The sequence below is a fragment of the Homo sapiens genome, chromosome 5 (assembly GCF_000001405.40).
Source record: "Homo sapiens chromosome 5, GRCh38.p14 Primary Assembly".
Classification (NCBI taxonomy): domain Eukaryota; kingdom Metazoa; phylum Chordata; class Mammalia; order Primates; family Hominidae; genus Homo; species Homo sapiens.
The window spans coordinates 21,159,877-21,184,980 of record NC_000005.10 but is presented as its reverse complement, the minus strand read 5'-3'; the positions used below and the strand labels follow the sequence as shown (position 1 = coordinate 21,184,980).

The 25,104-nt window shown below is 37.3% G+C and overlaps 1 long non-coding RNA gene across 2 annotated transcripts in view; it reads left to right on the top strand.

Moving 5' to 3' along the window:
* The first annotated feature begins 8,624 nt into the window (after positions 1-8,624).
* LOC102723561 (uncharacterized) overlaps positions 8,625-25,104 on the top strand; it is a 38,265-nt gene continuing 21,785 nt past the window's right edge. The window contains exons 1-3 of one of the 2 annotated variants that reach the window (XR_001742405.1): positions 8,625-8,711; positions 12,377-12,458; positions 16,007-16,447. This is a non-coding gene — a long non-coding RNA (uncharacterized LOC102723561). Of the gene's footprint in view, positions 8,712-12,376; positions 12,459-16,006; positions 16,448-25,104 lie in introns of those variants that run through there. The other variant, XR_001742404.1, reaches the window with a different exon arrangement.

The window sequence follows — 25,104 nt, the reverse complement described above, 5'->3', positions numbered from 1 at the left end:
TGCTTTATTTCCCAGAGCTGGAATGTGGTCCCCAAACTAGGTTTTTAATTGGTTCCTGAAGCTCTTTTTTCTCAAATAAAATCATCAAACTCACTCTAAAATGGAATTTGAAACCACATTAGCCCAAGGCAGTAAAAAGCAAAACAAAACTTAAGTTCAAAGTTTTTTTTAATCTATTTTTACTTGTTGTGAAATCCCTAAAAATGAAAAATCAACATTGTTTAGTCTAATGTTTGTTTTTTTTTCTTGAGCGGTGACAATCACAGGAGGAAACTCCTTTTAATATAAGGCAACTTGTACTGAAAATATGTACGAGGTTTTTAAAACTAAGGGAAAACAATTCAAATATAAGTAAGAATTTTAAACATAGGCCAGGCGCGGTGGCTCAGGCATGTAATCCCAGCACTTTGGGAGGCCGAGGTGGGTGGATCACTTGAGGACAGGAGTTTGAGACCAGCCTGGCCAACATGGTGAAACCCCGTCTCTACTGAAAATACAAAAATTAGCCAGGCGTGGTTGTGCAGCTTTTAGTTCCAGCTACCCAAGAGGCTGAGGCAAGAGAATTGCTTGACCCCTGGATGTGGAGGTTGCAGTGAGCTGAGATCACGCCACTGCAGTCCAGCCTGGGCAACAGAGTTAGAATTCATCTCAAAACAAAAAGAAAAAAAAAAGAATTTTAAACATATTTGGCAGCAGCTTTACAATATTAAATTAAACAGATTAGTGGAAAGAGTAATTCTATTTTAGCATTTATTTTATCTATTACTTTCTCTTGCCATATGTGTATTGTGCCTGCCATGAAATAAGTCATTATTTAACTTAAAGAGGGTCAATGAGGTGTTGAAGATGGAGTTTTCTTCTTTTACTCTTAACAATGGGTATGTATAATTTGTTTAAAAGAAATTTAAACCTGCTTATTAAAACCAGAAAAAAACAGAGAATACTCTCCTAGCTCTCAGCATTTATGTATTGCACAAGGTTTATTCTATTACATTGGGTGTAAAACATTACCATGCACTGTTTTAGTCCATTGTAAAGTTTTAGTCCACTTCTCTACACACCACAAACCTTTTTGTTTCTTTTCTTCTTCTTTTTTTTTTTTTTTTTTTTGAGACAGAGTTTTGCTCTTGTTGCCCAGGCTGGAGTGCAATGGCGCAATCTCGGCTCACCACAACCTCCGCCTCCCAATTCAAATGATTCTCCTGCCTCAGCCTCCTGAGTAGCTGGGACTACAGGCATGCACCACCATGCCCAGCTAATTTTGTATTTTTAGTAGAGACGGGGTTTCTCCATATTGGTCAGGCTGGTCTTTAACTCCCGACTTCAGGTGATCTCCCCACCTCAGCCTCCCAAAGTGCTGGGATTACAGGCTTGAGCCACTGCGCCCAACCCACAAACCTCTTTCTGAATGATGCAAAAAGTGAAGTAAAGTTTTTACAGAGCCTAGCTAATATCATCCTTAATTTCTGGCCTTTTATCATTACTTATGCTTACTAATTAGCTATATTTTTTGTTTGTTTTAGAAAATTGAGGGTACTGTTCATGTTACTAAACTCTAAGCCATTCATAATGCTATTACTGCAGGACAACTAGACCATTTTAAACAGCAAAATCAACATCAAAGAGCATATATATATATATATATATATATATATATATATATATAAAGACAGAGAGAGAGAGACAGAGAGAGGGATTTTAAAAAATGGGGAAATTCAGAGAGTTGATTCTCACCAATTGTTATGGCCTCAAAGTCACTGTAAACACTACGTAACCAACACTAAGCTATTGCTCCTAAGGGAAATACAGGGTGAGGTTTCTGTGAGCCTCTGATCATAACATTTTTTAACCTGATAATCCATAACTTTGTTTTATGTGCATTTCTGTTTAATTTTTGGGAAAAAGCTAAGTGTTGGGAGAAGCTGAGGCAGGGCTTGCATGTCTGACATAATGTAAAAGAGTCTTGGAACATGTCCGGGGTCCAGGGTCTGAAACCCCTTGTGGCTTTTGGAACACCAAGCTTTGTGCTAAAGGATGGAAGGCTACCCTGATGTACCATAATCTCAGCCCAGGGCATAAAATCCCTTGTGGCTTGAGTAGAATCCAGGGCTCATGGCTCTGGAATGTGTCTAGATTTGCTTGCTCCTTGCTCTCCCAGGATCAATTGTATCTTGAGTTAAAAGAACCTGCTCTCTATTATCTCAAGTAGCAGAGCAAATGCTAAACCATCACAGCTGAAAATCATATGCTTAATACAACGCGTCCTTTTGACCTCCACATTCTCACCACCTGTTTCTCTGTTGGATTACCAATAAAGAGCATGGGCTCCCAGAGCTCAGGGCCTTCGCAGCCTCCATACACTAGTGATGGCCCTCTGGTCCCAGCTTTCTCTCTCAAACTGTCTTTTTCTCAATCCTTTGACTCTGTCGGACTTTGTCACTCCCATGACCTGGTGTCGGGTCTGATCACCCCAATATTTAATGACACCTTATTTGATACATATGGTGTATGCTTAAACTTTGAACTTATTATCAACAGTGCTGTAACTCATGTCTGAGCAAGCTTATTTAACACACGTATTTTTTCTGTAAGATGCATCACAGCCTTCCGGGTATGATGCATTCTTATGATTTTATGTTGCCTTAGTATCCATTCTGAATTTAGGTTTTACTTTCTCACAGCAGAATTGGGACTTAGTCACCCTTGACTCGGTTTCCAGTTCACCATTCCCTTCCGGTCCTTCCATGTGGTTGATCTAGATATCTGCCTTAAACATCTGCATCCAGGTGACCACTTTTCTATGGGATAGCTGGATACAACCTACTTGACAACCCCCACTGACCTCCACACCCCACACGGACTAAGCAGACATGCAGCAGTGCCCACCTCTCAGTCACAGAATGATTCCATGGAACTCAGGCCATCAATTAGAACTCTGAGAAAAACATGCTCGGGCAACACACCGGACTCCAATAGAGGCTTTGACCTACAGGGCCCTCACTTTCTCTTTTGCTCCCCACATGCTGGCAGAGCTTGTGTTTCCTGAATGGCTTCCCCCTTCCTGTTGAAACTGCAAGGCCTGCTGCCCTTTGCTCTCTGGGATCTGTAAGTAATCAACAGCTTCTGTTATTTCATGTGATTTATTGAGTTGCCTTCTCTAGGTCTCACCCATCTGACACACACAAACCTAACTTCTTTCCTGCTCAGGGCTGTCTTAGAGAGTGACTATCTTGGTAAGAATAAACTGGACACAGATCAGAGAATAGCCACAAGGGCATCTCCCAGTATCAACTTTTCTGTGAGAGGAACATCTTGTCATGGGTTGACATTTGGGTATCAGGCATTTGCCATAATAATTAAGAATCCTATGAAAGGCACACTGTAAACCATGCCCACATTCCCTGGAGCCGCATAAGGACAGGGTGAGAGTTTGTTGCCACTGTCCTGAAAGACCTCAAGACCAAATTATTAGAAAAAAAAATACAACACTTGAGCTTAGGAACACTAGACGGCACATCAGCGCTGCACTTCGGGACCATTTTAAACAGTGAAATCAACATCAAAGAGCATATAAATGTGAAAAATGTGACACTCAACAGGCCTCAAAAGCGACACTTCTTTGCAGTGCAAAAGTTAAAACAAGAAAGTAAATTGTCACCTTGCTCAGCCTCACCTGGAAAGATGCACATCAGACAATTCAAAGTTTTCACTGCTCTAAGCATGTCCACAAAAGACCATAAAAGTGATGTGAGCATTGGTTTGGACTTTGTACATAAATTGTAGTGAAGAGGCTATTTAGCCTACTGTCAAATACAAAGCCTCAAATACAGAAACATGAGAATAAGGAGAATAGACTCTCTCTCTCTTTATATATATATATGTGTGTGTATATAGGTGTGTATATATATATACACACACAAATGTACACATGTGCTATATACATACGTGTATATATAAAATAAAAAATATTTTCTGTATATGTATAGAAGCGTATGTGTATATATGTTTTTATTCATGCACATACATATAGGTGTGTAGTATTTGGAAATATGTATATGCATATGACTTGAAAATTTAGATGAAGGGGTGTAGAAGAGATTTAATTTTTTACAGTTTAACAATGCCTTCATAAATATACAGTAGTCCAGTAAACTTGGTATGAGCTTTACAAATATGTCATCTCATAATTGCCCTTTCAATAAATTGACATTCTCTATAGTTCTTAATATTTAGGACAATATTTACCTGAATTAAGAAAAACTTGTACATTCTGTAGAAGATTATACAACAGCAATCTCCCTATGTTCTTGGAACTTTAACAAGAAAGCATTTATAGAAAACCCACTTCCCCAAATGTAGAGTATATACTGTGTTAGGCTGAATGCTGATTCCCCCAAGGATACCCATGTCCTAATCCCCAAAATGTGTAAATATGCTGGGTTACATGGCAAGGAGAAATTAAATTTGCAGATAGAATGAGTTTGCTTATCAGTTGTTCTTAAGGTAGAGAGATATCATGGATTTCCTGTCTCTAATCTTCTCACTGTGCAAGAGTCAACTGTACATATATTTTCAGTTGATTCCCATGCAGCCAAAAATTCACTGTAACATTTGACTTCCCAAAGACTTAGCTACTAATAGCCTACTGTTCACCAGAAGTCTTACCAATAACGTAAATAGTTGATTAACACGTAGTTTGTATATTACACATATTCTATGCTGTATTCTCACAATAAAGTAAGCTGGAGAAGAAAACGATATCAAGAAAATCATAAAGAAAGAGGAAATATATTTACTATTTATTAAGTGGACCATCATACAGTTCTTTCTCCTGTCACCTTTAGCTGAGTAGGCTGAGGCAAACGAGGAAGAGGAGGGGTTGGTCTTGCTGTCTCAGGGGTGACAGAGGTGGAAGAAAATTCATATATAAGTAGATCCACATAGTTCAAACCTGTGGTTCAAGGGTCAACTGTAATTATAAAGGTCCTTAAAAATGGGATGGCTAAGCAGAAGAGGAAAGTCAGAAAAAGAGGTAAGATGACAAAACAGTTTCAGAGTAATATGATGTCAGGACTTAACCCTCCATTGCTGGCTTTGAAGATGGAGGATAGGGCCATAGACTAAGGAAGATGGACAGCTTCTAGAAGCTGGAAAAGGCAAGGAAATGGATTCATCCCTAGAGTCTCCAAAGGGAATGCAGCCCTGCTGATTTTAGCTCAGTGAGATTTCAGATTTCTGACCTGAAGAACTATAAGATAATAAACTTATAAGACAATAAATTTAGTTGTTTTAAGCCATTAAATTTGCAGTGATTTGTCACAGCAATAGAAAATTAGTACATCTCTTCACCCTCTGTTCTGTCTCTCTAGCTCTGTACATATAAATATGCTCATATATGCACATTGTACATATATTAAAATATAGAAAACATGTAAAATTTTTTTGAGATGGAGTCTAGCTCTGTCACCCAGGCTGGAGTGCAGTGGTGCGATCTTAGCTCACTGAAACCTCCTCCTCCTGGGTTCAAGGGATTCTACTGCCTCAGCCTCCTGAGTAGCTGGGACTACAGGTGCACACTACCCTGCCTGGCTAATTTTTATATTTTTAGTAGAGAGTGGTTTCACCGTGTTGGCCAGGCTGGTCTTCAACTCCTAACCTCCGGTGATCTGCCCGCTTTGGCCTCCCAAAGTGCTGGGATTACAGGTGTGAGCCACCGCTCCCAGCCATGTAATTTTTATGTGTAGTAAACAGATACATTAGCTACATTAGCTACCTGTTATTTGTACTACATATTAGCATGCCTTTTAATATTCTGATTCAGATAATTCTAAATAGTAACTCTACTCATATATGAACACATGCTTCCTTTCAACCTGTACTTCTTCAGTTTTATATTTTAGAGAAGAAAAGCCTGAGTTGGTTCCATGAAATGAGGAATAACCATTAATATTTGGCACATAACTTAAATTCAAGGAGATTTGAAATCTGGCTTTCTCAACAGCAAATTTGCTCCTCATACCAGTATTAGGCCTTCTATTCCCTGATCGAACTCCTTATTACAGAGAAGTCCATGAAACCTGTGTAAGGGAGGGAGGGGAAACTTACATTACTTCAAAAACTGACCTCAGAATTCTTCTCAGGAAAGGAGCTGTGTTCATTGAACATGTTTTGAGAGGACATTTGGAACAAGTAAGACTCTGAAGATGTGAGAAGAGAACAGGAACTTGAACAGTAAAGACAGATGGCATGGCTGTACTAAGTTAAAAATAGGAATAATGATGGAGAGATACCAAGCAACCATATTAGCAATTTCATTAAAGATATTATATCCCCATAGGACAATTTATTGTAAGACTGTGTTGCTTTGGTTGAATATAGTCTCAGTTTCTGAAAGTTGTGTTGTCTATAGCAGAAGGGGGCAGCCTCTGCCTCAGGGATTCTCTCTTCTAATCTCTCCACATCTACCACTCACTAACTTACAAGGGCCAAAGAGTTTTATTAATGTAACAGAAAATTGGAAGATAATTTTATTTAGAAGGAAGGAATTTTTACACACTGAGACTTGTCTTCTCTCTTCCCAATACCAGCCATTTCCCACTGGTTTTCTGTTGTTTGAAACATTTCAATTCAATGACTTGTATAGATCAAGGGTGCATTGCATTGGAAAGTTTTTATAATATTTTAATTTTTTCCATTTTGCTATTTATTTGGCCCTTAATTTTACATTTTGTAAGTATTTTCATCTTGCAAACATGTCTGAAAATATAACTTGGCCATTTTTAAATGCAGGTATTAGAGGAAACAATTATTTGCCTAGGTCTATAGAAAATTCTGAGGTTCTTCATGATGAAGAGCACCTCTAAGTTATTAACTAACCCCATGAACAAGAGACTGCAAAAAAGTTAGTCTTTACAATGAAAGCTATTTATCAATGACTTTTATATGTGCTGGTAATACATGTTATTGAAGTCCATTAAGAAATAACATGTAAATATGGCAATGGCTGCAGAAAAATTAAAATTCTCTAAACTATGTTTCATAACCAGTTGAGAAATGATGGAGATATTGGACTCTCAAAGTGAACAAAATAAAACCTTTGTTTACAAACTTCTATTCAGTGCAAATGATAAGGAAAAAAGTCATTTAGTAACAATAAAAATTATCATCTGAAATATAAAATTCATAATTTGTGAGAATCTAATAATTTTGCATGTGTAGCAACTAAAATGCTAGCAAAAGATGCAGTGTGAGAAAATGAAGAGTTTTACTCTCAAATAGTACTACATATTGAAGTATTGATGATAAGTTACATCCTATGAAGATGTTTTATAATACACAGGAAAAAAGCAAAGAACAAACCCAAACGTCTTACTCCATTTATTACATCCATTACAAAATACCTTAGATAGAGTAATTTATACATAATAGAAATTTATTTCTCCTAATTCTGGAACCTGGGAAGTTCAAGATCAAGATGCTGGCAGGTTTAGTGTCTGGCGAGGGCACCATTCCTCATTGATGGTGTCTTGTAGCTACATCCACATGTGGATGAAGGGCATAAAGCTGTATTCTTATGTGGTAGAAAAGCAAAATGGATAAAGGTGCAAAGACTGCCTCAGGTCTTTTTATCGGGGTGCTAATTCCATTCATAAGAGCAGAATCCTCATGATCCAATTACCTATTAAAATCCTCACCTCTAAATTCTGTTGCATTAAGGACTAAGTTTCAACATGTATTTTGAAGGTACACAACCATTCAAAGCAAACACCAAATTCCATAAAACATGTCAAGCTAAGCACTCAAATAATTTTTAAATAATGATGAATGTTAAAAAATATGCTTTCTTGTTACAAAGAGCTGGGCACAACAAGCACAAGACAAAATTATACTTAGATTTTTATTCATAGCTGAAAACAAAATTCATTCTTGGAGGTACTGTGTTGGCTTCTGTACTGACAGTGCATTACCAACCACTGGGTCTAAGGAGGATTATGCTTCTTGTAGAATCAAGCAAATCCTGCATCTTCCCAACAAACTGAATGCTTTGTCGAGAGGCACTTGTGCCAAAGACATTGGAGATTAAATGAAAAAAATATAGATAATGCTACAAAAAGTCATATGTATATTATTAAAGAAAAACAAGTACACCTGAGAATTTTTGAGGAAAAAAAAATGCCTGAATGTTTGAGAGAAACCTCCTGTACATGTAGAAATCCAATAGGTTACCAAAGGATCTGTTTTTCACAGGGTGTTCAGCTGAAAGTTGAAATGCGTGAATACATACAAGAAAAAATAAGCCACATTTTGCTGAGTGCTTTGATGATTAAAAAAAAAATGGCTGCAGAATTTAGCCCACATAACAGACATTTACCATCATATGATACAGTGGAACAAGCATCTGTAAGACTCTGGAGAAACATTTTTATAATATAATGAGATTTTTGGATTTTAAGCGAAATTGAATCTATGTGAAAATCAGGTTGCAAAACGAAATTTTGAAATGTTCCTATTGCTGCTTGGTATTCAGAGAGTAGGTGGCTATCAACAAGACATTAAGTCTTATTGTAAGAAAACTGGATGATTTGCCCAATGAAGTTATACAGTTTTTTTTCCCTTTCAACACAAAATATGCTTGGGTGGAAATTCTTTTCTCTGAATCTTCTGCTCAGCCTGAAAACTTGATTTTGATAGAAGAGGAAGAATTTTGCCTGGTGAGTAGCTAAAATAATATTTTGAGGTCTTTATGTTCTAATGCCAATATATGTCATCTAGAATTTTGTCTGTATTGATTATTTTTTTCTCTTGCAAATGGATCATGCTTTCCTATTTCTTGATACATTTCATAATTTTGAATTGGATTCTGGACATTTTGAATGTTATGATAGGGAGAATATGGGTTATCTTCTATTTCTCTTAAGAATGCTAATATTTTTCTATTTCATTTTAGCAGGCAATTGATTTGACAGTTAATCAAATAATAAAACTCTTATTTTCTGAAGTAGGTGGCAGATCAAATTTTCATCCTTTTTTTTTAGCTTTGGCGGACCTATGAGAAGGCCTGTGGGAAGTTGGCCCCATGCTTTTCTGGTTCAGGAGTGAGCTATATATTTGGGCAGAATTCATACACGGAATTCATAGATCCACTTCCCTGGCTCTCTCCTTTCTGGAATTTTTCCCTTTAGATTCCAGTGGCTGTGATTGCCGTAAATTCTGGCTTCTGGTGTTTTCAAAACGATGAGACTGTGAGTTTTTCTATTGAAATGTTAGCCTTCCTGTCAGATATAAATTTGGGCTATCTCATGATAAAAACAATGACATGAGTAAATCACTCTTCATCGTATCTTCATCCCTGTTTCCAAGTGTAACACTCCTTCCAGTGTCTGCTTTGTTTTTCCACAATCTTCCACTTTCAGGTACTTGTTTTTATATATTTATTTTTCTAAAAACTACAGTTATCTTTCTTTACTCAGTTTAAAATTACTGAAATCAACAGTAAAAATGTAAAACAATAAAAATCTGATCTTTCACATACCATATGTTAGAAAACATATTTCATTAGAATATTTTTAGTACAGGCCAGAGGCTGTGGCTTATGCCTATAATCCCAACACTTACGGGGGCCGAGGCCAGTGGATCACTTGAGACCGGAAGTTTGAGACCAACCTGGGCAACATGGTGAAACCTTGTTTTTATTAAAATTACCAAAAAAAAAAAATTGCCAGGCATAATGTTGTGTACCTGTGATCCCAGCTACTGGGGAGACTGAGGCACAAGACTAGTTTGAATCCAGAAGGCGGAGGTTGCAGTGAGACGAGATCATGCCACTGCACTTCAGCCTGGGTGACAGAGCGAGACTCTTGCCTCAAATATATATATATTTGAGGCAAGAGTCTCGCTATATATATATATATATATAGTTTATATATATATAGTTTATATATATACAGTGTGTGTGTATATAGTGTATATATATAGTTTATATATATATATAGTGTGTGTGTATATATATATATACATATATATATATGTAGAAATTAGTTATAGGATATTTAGGCCGAATAGAACACTACTCAGATAAAGCAAGGTATCAAGCAGAACTTTTTTTTTTAACTAAAACACTGTGGGAGGGTGAAGTTTTGTTTTGTTTTATTCCACACTAATGACTTGCCTTGCAGTCGATGTCCTTCTGAGAAAAGAGAACCAAATAGAAAAATCATATTTATAAATTGACCAAATAAATAAATCTGGAGGAAAATATTATCTACTTAAAAGATAATTGAAAATTGTTAATAGATTATCATGTCCTCAAGCATATATCATTTTTACATATTGTATGCTATAGATAGAATGTTCTTCTTTTACTGCAGAGATTTTCTGAGACCTGACCAGTTTTTAAAGTATCTCTCCAGGATTAAAAAATCATTCACTTTTGATCATTTGAAAATGACTTAAAGTTAATAAAGATCTATAAAATATCATTAAGTAGGACTGTGAGATGGCAATACTTTGGTTTTGATTATATAGAACTCAATACTTACTTGAGAAAACAAACACACAGAAAAATGATTAAATAGAAAAATCACCATTTTGGTACCACGGCAGTCCTGTTAAAAATGGGAAGTGTTGGCCTGGCACAGTGGCTCACGCCTGTAATCCCAGCACTTTGGGAGGATGAGGTGGGCGGATCACGAGGTCAGGAGATCGAAACCATCCTGGCTAACATGGTGAAACCCCACCTCTACTAAAAATACAAAAATTAGCTGGGTATGGTGGTGGGCGCCTGTAGTCCCAGCTACTTGGGAGGCTGAGGCAGGAGAATGGTGGGAAACCAGGAGGCGGAGCTTGCAGTGAGCAGATATTGTGCCACTGCACTCCAGCTTGGGCGACAGAGTGAGACTCCATCTCAAAAAAAAAAAAAAAGAAGTGTTAATTGACATGTGATGGGTATTTTCATTTTTTCATGTAGTTATTAGAATTTTTTTTTTTACATTTCAAAAAACTAACTTTCTTTTTACTAACATGTTTCGACAGTAAACCTACCTCATCAGTCTCTTTAACACAAACATGACAGCAATGCAACTGGAAGGTTTTGGAGATAATGATGCAGACCCATGGAATCGGATGTAGTTGGACTGGGGTGGGAGACACAGGTGTATTATTTATGCTTGCAAAGGAGTGGTGACAATTTACCATGGTACTAATACTTCCTGGCTTGAATTGAATATGTTTTGAAATATGAATGATTCATTTAAAGGCTGAAACATTTAACATTGACATCCAAGCAGCATTTCCTGAATTCCTGTTGGTACAGAAATAGAAAATATTATGAAATATCACTATCACATTATTGGGGTAACTTTCTTTTTTTGTATTTGTGGATTGATACTTCAAATAGAGTGCTGTAGATTGCGTTGAGTGCATGCAATTGATTTTGATACCCTTTACATTCCTAATTACAATGTTTAACTTGCCATGCGAGGCATATTTTATGCAAAAGAAAATATTTTTGTTTTACATAGGCATTAGTTTAAATAGTAGATTGACATTAAAAAAAGAAATATTCAAGCATAAAATGAATTTGAAAGTAATTTATATTAAAGATTCACAACACCATGTTATTCTTAAGTGCTAAAACAAATATTCTCTCATATTTTCCCGATGGCTAATATGGCTAACATATGGAGAACTAAAGCATTGATTTGACAATGACCCAAATAATGACGCAATTATAACCTTTTCAAGAATGATTTAAAACATATTCTAACCTTTTCATCATTTCATTTTTTACTATGAGAAGATCATTACTCAAAAGGGAAGGGAATGATTTTGTAGTTGGCTCTTGCTAAGAGTTATATTTCAGTTTCTCATTACAATGAAATGTAAAGCACAAGAGGAGGAGGATGGGGGAAACTCTACCACCTCCCCCCCTTGCAGTTTTTCATGTGTGATACTCAATATGGTTTAAAAATCTAAGAGAACAACCCATTTTGTTTCAGCCCCAAATCTGTCAACCTGTTGATGGGGCAAATGCACAATATATTTCATTGGAATGCTGCCACATGTAACATTTATTTGCAAAATGCAAGGAAGATTTTAAAGGAAAAACTTCATAACCTAGGAATTTAATTTAAAAATGCCGAGTGAACATTAAACTAGATGAAAATTGCAAACCTTGATCATGAAAATTAAATTATAACACTCCTTGATTTGTTGAACATAATAATGCTTATTGAAATGAGTCAAATGACATTTTTCTTGTAAAGGTCTTTCTGATATACAGCATTTGAAACTTCCTCCATTGTTCATGATCATTAATGCTTAATTTCAAAGATCATTTAATATGTACTTTGTAAGAAGTCTGGATATCGATTTTTAGGTTTTCTTGGCTTGATTGATTTGGTGAGCTGAAAGAAAGACACTGCTTCATCAGAATTCAAACAACAGAAAACATCTCCCAGGTGAATTTTCAATTCTATATAACTTGCTCATTTTTAAGGAAATGTAAAAATAGATCGTATAACTTTTGCTCATTTGCTTCCTAGGACAATTAACACTTTAATACCACTACTTATATTAAGACAAAACCATGCATTTTTTCTCTATTTTTATGTAATTCGACTTAAAACTGTATGTATTGAAGGCCTACAGTGAGTCAAGTTCAACTCCATTTTCCTAAGATACATCAATGAACCAAACAAAAACACCTCCTTTATGGAGCTTACATTCTAGAGGTGACAAGGAGACAGATAACAGTGCACCTAACTCACCCAGGATATGTTACATTTCAAAGCAATGAGCCTTCTGGAGCCAAAGCTAAAGTAAAGCAAGGAAAGGGCTTGCAGTTGTTGGTAGGGCCTGGGGGTGGGTTACCATTTATTTAGGCCCATAAGAGCAGGCCTCTTTTTGGTGATATTTGACAATAATGTTGAACGGCACATTTGGAGAGAGCTATGATGAGGCCAGTGTGGTTAGGGAAGAAGATGAATAAACCAGAGGAAAAGTCAAGATGTGGACAACTAAGGGCAGCATGATCACGTTGGTGGTTAAGTCATTATAAAGAATTATACTCAGACTGAAATAGGGAGCTACATAAAAGTTTTTAGCAAAGGAATGAAAAGATTTCATGTAGGTTTCTCCCCTCGCCCCCCTCCCTTTCCCTGCCCTCCTCTCCCTGTTTTTTGACAGAGTCTCGCTCTATTGCCCAGGCTGGAGTGCAGTGGCGTGATCTCTGCTCACTGCAACTTCAGCAACCCCCGCCTTTCGGGTTCGAGAGATTCTCCCACCTCAGCCTCCAGGGAAGCTGGGATTACAGGTGTGCACCAGCAGGCCTGGCTAATTTTTGTTTTTTGATTAGAGACTGAGTTTCAGTATGTTGGCCAGGCTGGTTTCAAACTCCTGACCTCAGTTATCCACCCACCTCAGCCTCTCAAAGTGCTGGGATTACAGGTGTGAGCCACCACACCCGGCTTGATTTCACCTAGGTTTCTAAACAAGATTTCTGGCTATCATCTAGGAAAATTATGAAAGACAGATAAGGATCAAATCAGTTCAGCTAATTATAAGGCTATTGCTTTAATTTAGACAAGAAATTATGGAAAATGTAGCAAGTCCAAATAGATACATCTACTTAAGGAAACATCCAAAAGCATATTTGAATAGGAGAATATCTTGTTTACATACTGATCATATCTAATATGCAAAGAGTTTTTATTACTTTAAATTGCAAGTTTTGAAAAACCCATTCACTTCTCTTATGTGATGAATCACTTTTGACAACACCCCTTTGACCTAAATAACTATATTTCAGTGTGACTTTATTTGATGGGCAGATTATATAAAATACTTTGAAACACACCACACTGGTACACAGTAAAATTAAAGAGGATAATTTAGCAGGGCTTAATTCATAACTCTGGTATTGCAAATTTCTTTTCATTTTATTCTTCCAAAACATGTTTCTTGGAGTTAGGCCTAATAGGTTGAGGAACAAATACAAAAATTAGGTGTGGGTCACAGGTCATTCCAGACTTGGTTTATCATCTTAAAGAGGATTTGAAAGATAAAATTCCCTTTACCACAGTTTCTTGTTATGGCATTCTTGTGCATGTCATGTTTAATAAGTTTCTGTCTTCTTGAAAACCTTTAAAATATTTTTTATAAATATCTAGTTGAGCACTCAGTCTTATTCTATCCAGTCATGATTCTAATCTGCACCTCTATGATTTCAAACCTTGTTATTCAATATCTTAGCTATTATACACTTTTTTATCTGCTAAGTGCAATAAGCCCCTATTTTCACATGAATTCTTACATCAACAGTTCAAGGAAATTGCATACATTAGAATGGTCCTTTCTCCTGAAAACTCATGGTATATTTACTATAAAGAAAATAATGTCATCATTCGAACTATTGCTAAATTTTTTACAAGATTACAAGTACATTATAATTAACAAAAAATTTGAGAAATCCTTTATAAAAATATAAAATTTTTTTAAAAATGTACAGGTTGCATTAGTAATTAACATTTATGGATAATTACTTGAAACATAATTTATATTTGACAAATCATGGTGCTGTAACTCAGAGACACACATTTTTGGGAAGGAAAACAAAACATAAGAAAATATCATAAATATCATCTGGAATGCAGAGCCCCCTCAGCTCCGCCACTAGCTAATAATACCTGCTTTCCTTAAGTACCTCTGAGATTCCCTCCAGTTCTCAGAATTCACTGCTAGCAACACTCTTTCTATTTCATTCCTATATATGTGTGCCAAAGGCCAACCTGAGTATATTTAGCTAAGTTCATTCTGATATTAGATCGTTATGATTAATACTGAGTGTCAACTTGATTGGATTGAAGGATGCAAAGTATTGATCCTGGGTGTGTCTGTGAGGGTGTTGCCACAGGATATTAACATTTGAGTCAGTGGCTGGGAAAGGTAGACCCACCCTTAATCTGGGTGGGCACCATCTAATCTGCTGCCAGCATGGCTAGAATTTAAACGGGCAGAAAAATGTGAAAAGAGAGACTGGCCTAGCCTCCCAGCCTATATCTTTCTGCGATGCTGGATGCTTTCTGCCCTCAAACATTGGACTCAAATTCTTCAGTTTTGGAACTCGGACTGGCTCTCCTTGCTCCTTAACCTGCAGACTGCCTATTGTGGGACTTTGTGATCATATGAGTTAATACTTACTATTATATATACACATATATATATATTTATATATGTGTATATATACACACACACATATATATATACACATATATAGTTCTGTCCTTCTAGATATATTAGCTGTGTCCCTCTACAGAACCCTGACTAATTCACAGATAAAGAGTAATATGTGAATAAACATAAATCAGTATATCACATTTTATTGTGTTTCCCTTTACTGCGCTTTACAAAAATTGCATTTCTTTAAAAATTGAGGGTTTGTGGTAACCCAGCATGAAGCAAGACTATCAGTACCATTTTTCCAATAGCAACGGTTCACTTCTGTGTCTCTGCATTACACTTTGGTAATTCTCACAATATTTCAAACTTTTTTTCTACATTATATCAGTTATGTTGATGTGTGATCAGAGATTTTCGATGTTACTCTTGTCATTGATTGGGGGGACACAAACCATATAAGATGGCAAACTTATTTGATAGACATTATGTGTGTTCTGACTGCTCCACCAACAGCCATCCCATTTCTCCATTCCTCTTCTTGGTCTTCCCTACTCCCTAAGACATAACAATATTAAAATTATAACAATCACTCTACAATGGCCCTGAAATATTCAAGTGAAAAGAAGGACCATACATCTTTCACGTTAAATTAAAAGCTAGAAATCATTAAGTTTAGTGAGGAAACCATCCTCACTAAAATGGAAATTATCCTATTTGAAAAGAAGTTTGACTACAGGTAAAATGCTATCAAACAGAATCAAGTGCTACAGATAAATCTTTCATTAAGGGAAAAACAATGTGACAAACATCATTGTTGTCTTATGTTAAGACATTGCCACAGCTACTCCAACCTTCATTACCCACCACTCTGATCAGTCAACAGTCATCAATATGGAAGCAAGACATTCTACCAGCAAAAAGATTCTGACTCGCTGAAGCTCCCATGGTTTAACAAATCATTTTAAAGTAAGGTATATACATAGCTTTGTAGACATAATGCTATTGCACACTTAATAAACTACAGTATAGTGTAAACATAATTTTTTATGCACTGGGAAGCCAAAAATTTTGTGTGACTCACTTTAATGCAATATTTGATTTATTGCTATGGCCTAGAACTAAATCTGTAATATCTCTGAGGTACGCCTGTAATCAAGGGGATAAGTTATTTATCAACTCTTATACATCATACAACCTCCTGACTAAAAAAAACTAACAAAACACAATACTTAATATTAGGGAAAAAATAAAGAAATTTATTATGAAATTCAATCATCACTCATATTCTAAATGCCTGCTCCTTGAAAAAGCTTTTGATAAGTCACACTTTCCATTTCTAGGACTTTGCAATTTATTGAGATAAAAATCTATGAAGAGATAAACAGCTCATTTAACTAGAACACAGACAATGAGGGAGGGGAAGTGGCAGTTAGTATCATAATGCTCTAGACTTTAATAGAGAGTTATTAAATCTTTGTTCATAGGATATGTCTTTCATTTTACTAAATGGCTCTCTGTAAACCTGGCAAAATGAATGATTTGCCAGATATTGTGAAAAGGGTAGAACTAGGGTATTTTATAAAGTATAAGTTCAATCTATTTGCCTGGCTCTCATTGCTTATAAGCCAGTCTACTGAAGGCTTATCAGCTACATTATAATGATTTTAAAAGCAAAGCAGTTATGAATTTTCTACATTCCATGTCCTTGTATCCCTAACCAGAAGTTATTGAGAGGGCAGAGATAGCAAAACATCATGCTATTGAATAGCAAGTACTGCTTCTGTAATACCTATAATAACTGGACCTTGGTTTATAAAATTCAAACAAATTACTTAGAAATATATTTTTATTTTAATCTTATTTTATTTTTTGGGGACAGACTCTCACCCTGTCACACAGGCTGGAGTGCAGTGGCATGAAACTCAACTCACTAAAACCTTTGCCTCCCAGGCTCAAATGATTCTCCTGCCTCAGCCTCCCGAGTAGCTGGGACCACAGGTGCACATCAGGCCTGGCTGTTTTATTTTTTATTTTTGTAGAGACAGGGCTTTGCCATGTTGCCCAAGCTGGTCTCGAACTCTCTGCCCATCTTGGCCTCCCAAAGTACTGTGATAAGAGTCAGGAGCCACCACACCTGGCCAGAAACATATACATGTATATATATATTTTTTTCTTTTTTTAAAGTTATACTTTAAATTTTGGAGTACATGTGCAGAATGTGCAGATTTGTTACATAGGTATACACATGCCATGGTGGTTTGCTGCACCCATCAACCTGTCATCTACATTAGGTAATTCTCCTAACACTATCCCTCCCCTAGCCACCCACCCCCTGACAGGCCCCGGTGTGTGATGTTCCCCTCTCTGTGTCCATGTGTTCTCATTGTTCAACTCCAACTTATGAGTGAGAACATGCAGTTTTTGGTTTTCTGTTCTTGTGTTAGTTTGCTAAGAGTGATGGTTTCCAGCTTCATCCATGTCCCTGAAAAGGACATGAACTCATCCCTTTTTATGGCTGCATAGTATTCCATGGTGTATATGTGCCACATTTTCTTTATCCAGTCTATCATTGATGGACATTTGGCTTGCTTCCAAGTCTTTGCTATTGTGAACAGTGCAACAATAAACATACGTGTGCATGTATTTTTATAGTAGAATGATTTATAATCCTTTGGGTATATACTCAGTAATGGGATTGCTGGGTCAAATGGTATTTCTGGTTCTAAATTCTTGAGGAATTGCCACACTGTCTTCCACAATGGTTGAACAGAAATATATTTTTTAAATAAACATAAATACTTTGGAACTAGCCTGAAAAGTTAGTTACCTTGTACACAAATCAGCAAAATTTTCTTTCATAAAAATATTTTATATTAAAAGCCAAGCCATTCACTAATGTCAGACAAATCACTGCCCCCTTGGTGACTACAGTACCTTTTGATTTTATTAATTCTTTACTGATTCCAATTAATAAAGATAAATCTGAGAAGGAAATTATATGATGTTTCATTTTGAGAATCTGAGTTACATTTAGAACTAAAGAAGAAATGAAGGAAGTCCATATTTCTGCAATTATTCCCTCTGGTTGCCTCTATTCCAAAGACAAGGACCGCTCCCAAGACCACACTATGAATTAGGCTGAGAATAACAGCTAAACTGAACTAACAGGATCCTAGCGAAGATAGACCTAGGTAATCAAAAATCACTTGGGGAATAGTTGAGAATGAGGATCAGATATTGAGGGGGTTCAGATGTCAAGGATAGGGGATTCTTGCTAACCTGACTTAGCAGTGTCCTTGCTAACATTGGATTTTACAGAAGAGTGCACAAATGGACCTAGGAGAAGGATCAGGAGCCTAATTAGTGTGGTCAAGCAAAGAGTCTGTCACCTCCAAACCCCGTGTTCTGTTTTCCCTTTCTTCCAAACTGTGAATCTGTCATCCATAAGAATGTCATCCGTAAGAATCTTACATATACCCTTAAACCCTTTGCCCTTATCGTCTTTTTTTTTTTTTTTTTTTTGTGTGTGTGTAGATGGAGTCTCGCTCTGTCGCCCAGGTTGGAGTGCAGAGGCCCAACCTCGGCTCACCGCAACCTCTGCCTCCCGGGTTCAAGGGATTCTCCTGCCTCAAACCCCTGAGTAGCTGGGACTACAGGTGCATGTCATCATGCCCAGCTACTTTTTGTATTTTTAGTAGAGATAGGGTTTCACCATATTGGCCAGGCTGGTCTCGAACTCCCAACCTCGTGATCCGCCTGCCTCGGCCTCCCAAAGTGCTGGGATTACAGGTGTGAGCCACCATGCCCGGCCTCGTTCTTTATACTATATGCCTACATAACTGCAACCATGATTGATCTAACACTTCTAACTTTTCTAGTGTCTGCAGGTGGCTGAGGAAGAAAGTTAAATAATATTACTTCAAATTTATACATATTTTATCACTGACTTCTGGGACTCCACATTATATTATCTCCCTTATTTGTACGATTCATCTCTATTTTGTATTTCTTGATAGTTTTCCTAATCTTCCTATTCTCTAAATAATGGGATGATACAGGGATCAATACTTAGAAATGAATGCTTCATGCAAGTTTCTACAAAGGTTTTTCCATCTAAGCATATGACAACACCTTTCTTGTGCTTGCAAAATCTTTGGCATCCCTATCCACATCCAATCTATCCACAAATTGTCCCAGTTTTATCTTGAAAATGTACCTAATATTTAACCACTCACTCATTAACAAGTATTCAAACACCAAGTCAACCTTACCTTTCAATTGGGTCTCTGCAGTAACATATTAACTGAGTCCTACTTCCTAATGTTGTACCTGAGCGAGTTAGAGAAAACACCACACTTTGAGACAAATTAAGAGTCCATTTATTTAGCCGGCGGCCAAGAGACGGCTAACGCTCAAAATTCTCTTGGCCCCGAAGAAGGGGCTAGATTTTCTTTTATACTTTGGTTTAGAAAGGGGAGGGGGGCCTAGTTAAAACAATTTTACAGAAATAAAGTAGGCAAAAAGTTAAAAGGATAAATGGTTACAGGAAAGTAAACAGTTCCAGGTGCAGGGGCTTTAAGACTATTACAAGGTGATAGACTCGGGGCTTTGGGCGTTATCAATCAGACGAATTCCTGGGAATTGCAGATGTAGCTTGCCACAGTATCTTTATCAGTTAATTGCATTCTTGGATGTGCTGGGAGTCAGCTTGCACAAATTAAGTCCTTGAGGAAGGGGCTGCCAGTGACAGAGCCAAGATGGAGTCTGTCTGGCTGTCTTAGCTAAGGGAGAGTCAATTCAGGTGGAAACAAGGCTAGGTGATTAAAGGAAAAGGGAGAGTCTAAAAACAGGGTTAGTAAAAACAAGGTTGGGCATTACACTTATCTCTTACCAATGTCATGTTCTATATACAACGTCTGAACCATCCTTTCTAACGGCCCCTCCCAGTGTTTTCCTATTTCTCTTGGAGTAAAATTCAAAGTCTTAGTTCAATATGTCATCAAATATACCTCCCAACCTGGAATATTCTCCCACCAGATATTTGCATGGCTTCCTTCAGGCATCTGCCTAAACATATCTGATATGATTAGGCCTACTGGCCCTGCACAAATCTCATCTTGAATTATCATCCCCCTAATCCCCATGATCCCCACGTGTCAAGGGAGAGACCAGGTGGAGATAATTGGATCATGGGGGCGGTTTCCCCCATGCTGTTCTCATGATAGGGACTGAGTTCTCATGAGGTCTGACGGTTTTGTAAGTGTTTGGTAGTTCTTCCTGCATTCATTCTCCTTCCTGCCGCCTTGTGAAGAAGGTGCCTTGCTTCCCCTTTTCCTTCCCCAATGATTGTAAGTTTCCTGAGGCCTCTGCAGCCATGCTGAGCTGTGAGTCAATTAAACCTCTTTCCTTTATAAATTACCTAGTCTCAGGCAGTTCTTTATAGCAGTGTGAAAATGGACTAATACAATATTTGTGTCAGAGAGTTTACCACTGATCACCCTATATAAAATGACGGATCCTCCTACTCACTGATAGCATTTGCCATTCCCTTCCTTATTTTTTTTTAATTATTACTACATAATATTGTGATTATAGATTCTATATAACTAATTAAATTGAATGACGAGTTGAGCATCTCTAACCTGAAATTTAAAACGCTCCGAATTTCAAAACTTTCTGAGCGGTGACATGATGTCGCAAGTGAAAAATTTCACACCTGACCTCATGTGATGGGTCTGTCAAAAGACAGTCAATATTTTGTTTCATGCACAAAATTATTTAAGACATTGTATAAATTATGTCCAGGCTATGTGTTTTAGGTGATACGAAACATAAGTGAGTTTCCTCTTTAGACATGGGTCCCATCTCCAAGATATCTCACTATGTATATACTAACATTTCAAAAGCCTAAAGAAATTTAGAATCTGAAACACACTTGGTCTGAACCATTTTGGATAAGGGAAATTCAACCTGTATTTGTTTACTTTTGTCTATAACCTTGAGAATGTAAGGCCTCCTAACGTTAGTTCTTATTTTTATTGTTAGTGTTAATTAAAGCTTCATTTAAAAAAAAAAAAACACAGACTCTTCCAAGTTGTTGTGGCCAGATCCTAGAAGTGGCTCCCAGGGTGTTCGTATCATCTAGAATATTCTCCATCTGAGTGTGAGCAGGACCTGTGACTTGCTTCTTGTCAATAGAATATGACAAAGAGAAAGGATTTTGCAGATGTAATTAAGTTTTACAAATCAGTTTATGCTGTGAATCATAAAGGGGATTATCCTAGGTAGGTCTAATATAATCAGGTTTAAGCTCCTAAGAGAGGAATTGGACCCTCTTTAAGGTGACAAATCTTTATGCTGTCTTAATGAAGAAAGTGGTCATGTTAAAGAAGCCCAAATGGCAAGAAATTATAAGTAACTTCTAAGAACTGTGAGCAGTCCCTAGCCATCAGCCAACAAAATGCTAGAGCCTTCAGTAATTGCACAGCCACCAGGAAATAGATTCTACCAATGACCTGAAGTTTAGATGTAGATTGATCCCCAGTTGAACCTCTAGCTGAGAATGAACTCTGGGTGGACCCTCAGTTGCAGGTTTATATGATTCCCAGTGGAATATCCAGCTAAATTATATCCAGATTTCTGACCTACAGAAACTATGAGGCAGGGCACAGTGGCTCATGCCTGTAATCCCAGCACTTTGGGAGGCTGAGCTGGGTGGATCACCTGAGGTCAGGAGTTCAAGACCAGGCTGGCCAACATGGCAAAACCTGTCTCTACCAAAAATACAAAAATTAGTCAGGCATGGTGGCACGCCCCTGTAATCCCAGCTACTCAGGAGGCTGAGGCAGTAGAATCGCTTGAACCTAGGAGGCAGAGGTTGCAATGAGCTGAGATGGCACCACTGCACTCCAGCCTGGCGACAGAGTGAGACTCCGTCTCAAAAAAAAAAAAAAAAAAAAAAAAAAGAAACTATGAGATAATATATGCATATATTTATAAGCTGCTGAGATTGTACAACTTTGTAACATGTCAATGTGGTATATATAATACTAACATGACAGCATCATGCATTATAATTATTTTTAAATGCATGTGAATCCCTTAGGTAAAAGGACTGTTATATTTTTCTTTACCCCAGGCTCAATTCTAACATTTTAAGATGTATAATACTTGATCATTGAATAAACGGATGGATGAATGACTGAATAAATTGACAAAGTAGCTCTTCTTTCAATCAGGTGCAGGAAGGAAGGACAAGCACAGAAATCTTCTTCTTAAAATTGATTGGAAGAAATAGAGCAAGTAAATAGTAATGATAGTTATTTATTCATTTGCAGTTCAAAAATATTTTAAGATAATACCATTTCACTGAAGCCTTACAACTATTTTGAATAAGAGATGATCATGTATATATTAGTCATTATAAATTTGAATCCGTGTAAATGCTCTGAGATTCAAATTAGCACAAGATCGGTCACACACATGCAATTATGGAGCACTACAATTATTTCTTTTGACCTGGGATCACAAGCACTATTTGCTACATCACTTTGTCTATTATCACAGTATTAATTACACTGGTTATATAGGGAATATTAACAAAATATTCACTTGGCTGATATCAATGTTCATGTGCTAGTAAGATTTGTTCAATTTATTGGCATCAAAGCAGAAAACGTCTTGTTAGGAAAGTCAAGACACATATGAAATTAAGAGGTTAAAGGGCACTAGATACTCTTATCACAAACGCAGTTGCCTCTGCCCCAAACCTTGCCTTTTTGTCAATGTGAGTAATTAGTGCTTCTAACTACATTTAATAATGTTCAATATTTTAGGAACACTAATTAACCCACACAACATTGTCTCATCTGCATTTTATAAGTTGAAGAAACTAAAGCAGATAAAGGTTAAGAACCTAACCCAGGGTCACAACACATTAGTAGGACAGTAAAGATTACTGTTCCAGACCTCTTAAAATTCCTTTTGCAAAAGGAACCTGGAGTCATCTTCTTGCCGTGAACACTTTGCTGCTTGCAATTCCTATAGTGTTGCAAAGAGTTGTTGCTAATTCCTATTGATAAGCCAAGTAGCATTAGAGTCTTCATCTGTCATCTCACATTAAGCTGCCCCCCAAGTTCTTGGCAGGAGCCCTAGACCAGCTATACTAGGCCTTCATTTCTAGCCATGTTCTCTTGCAGCATTCACAGTGGAAGCATTTTTTGTAAAACCTGCACTGAAAGAATTTAGAAGACTACATTGTTTGGATGTCCTCTTTGGTCCCCCTTGTGGTTTTCTGTTTTTCTTTCCTTCCCCTTCATATGTCCTATCTCTATGAAGTAAATATTATCCGCCTAAGTTCCCTACAAACTTTCCTGTTATTCCCAATCTTCTACTTATGATTTTAGCTCTTCATCATAACCATCAAACCCATTATTATTATTATTATTATTATTATTTGAGATGGAGTCTTGCTCTGTCACCCAGGCTGGAGTGCAGTGGTGCGATCTCGGTTTACTGCAACCTCTGCCTCCCAGGTTCAAGTGATTCTCCTGCCTCAGCTTCCCAAGTAGGTGGGACTACAGGCTTGTGTCACCACACCCAGCTAATTTTTTTGTGTTTTTAGTAGAGACGGGGTTTCACCATGTCAGTCAGGCTGGTTTCGAACTCCTGACCTCAAATGATCCACCCACCTTGGCCTTCCAAAGTGCTGGGATTACAGGTGTGAGCCACCATGCCTGGCACCCCATTATGTTTTTAGCAGTGTCGGTATCCACATAGATAATCTGATCAATACTTATCACCATTTTTTGCTAGCCACACATCAGCAAATTACTCATTTTACTTATACTCCAAGCCTTCCTTGGAGGTAAAAACTTAGTTTCACTACCTCTTAAATCTCATTTCTATCTATCATCATCCAAGAATCACTTCCCATCTTTCCAAGTTACACACTTTAGTATAATAACTGAATAAAGTATTTACCTCTACAATTATTTTAATCCAGGGTCCTCAACACTTCACTTTCCATGACCCCTCTCTGTCCTGGTTGGCATTCCACTAAAGGAGACACTGCAATCTAAGTGCTTGGGTGTGTGTGGTTTATTTCTGAGGTGATTTCAAGAAGAAAAACTCAGGATGTGGGAAAAGTGAATTAAAGAAGAGAAGAAGCAAACACAGTGTGCAATAATAATCCATGTATTACAATAGACAAATGCAGCACAAGCTTCCTGAAGATCCACTGTGGAACTATGCAAGACACACTTTAGAATTTTCCATAGAAGAGTGTAGAAGTTGGTGAATTTACTCAATGACTCCACAATTTCATTGGTTGAGATTTGTATGGGGGCTCAATTCTTGTTGTCAGGTGATAAATATTGTGAATATAAGCTGAGAAAAATATTTAAGTGTTAGAAAAAGCCTTGACCATGAGCAGTGGCTCATGCCTGTAATCTCAGCACTTTGGGAGGCTGAGGCAAGCAGATCATGAGGTCAGGAGTTGGAGACCATTCTGGCCAAAGTAGTGAAACCTTGTCTCAACTAAAAATACAAAAGAAATTAGCCGGCTGTGGTGGTGGGCACTTGTAATCCCAGCTACTTGGGAGGCTGAGGCCTCCCGTTTGAACCAGGGAGGCAAAGATTGCAGTGAGCTGAGATCATGCCATTGCACTCCAGCCCTGGGCAACAGGTGTGAGACTCCGTCTCAAAAAAAAAAAAAAAAAGAGAGAGAGAGAAAGCCTTAAGGCAGATAAGGCAGATAAGCTGAGAACCAGTGGCACTTGAGGAAGGAAACTATCAGCACACATGTGAACGGTTTACTGCCCCTGTAGTTATAAGTTGTAGTCAAATGAAGGAACATGAGGTAGAGACATGACACCCCTCAGATTTTCATCTTATTACCTGGCATAGGTTGCACAGAGCAGATCTCTC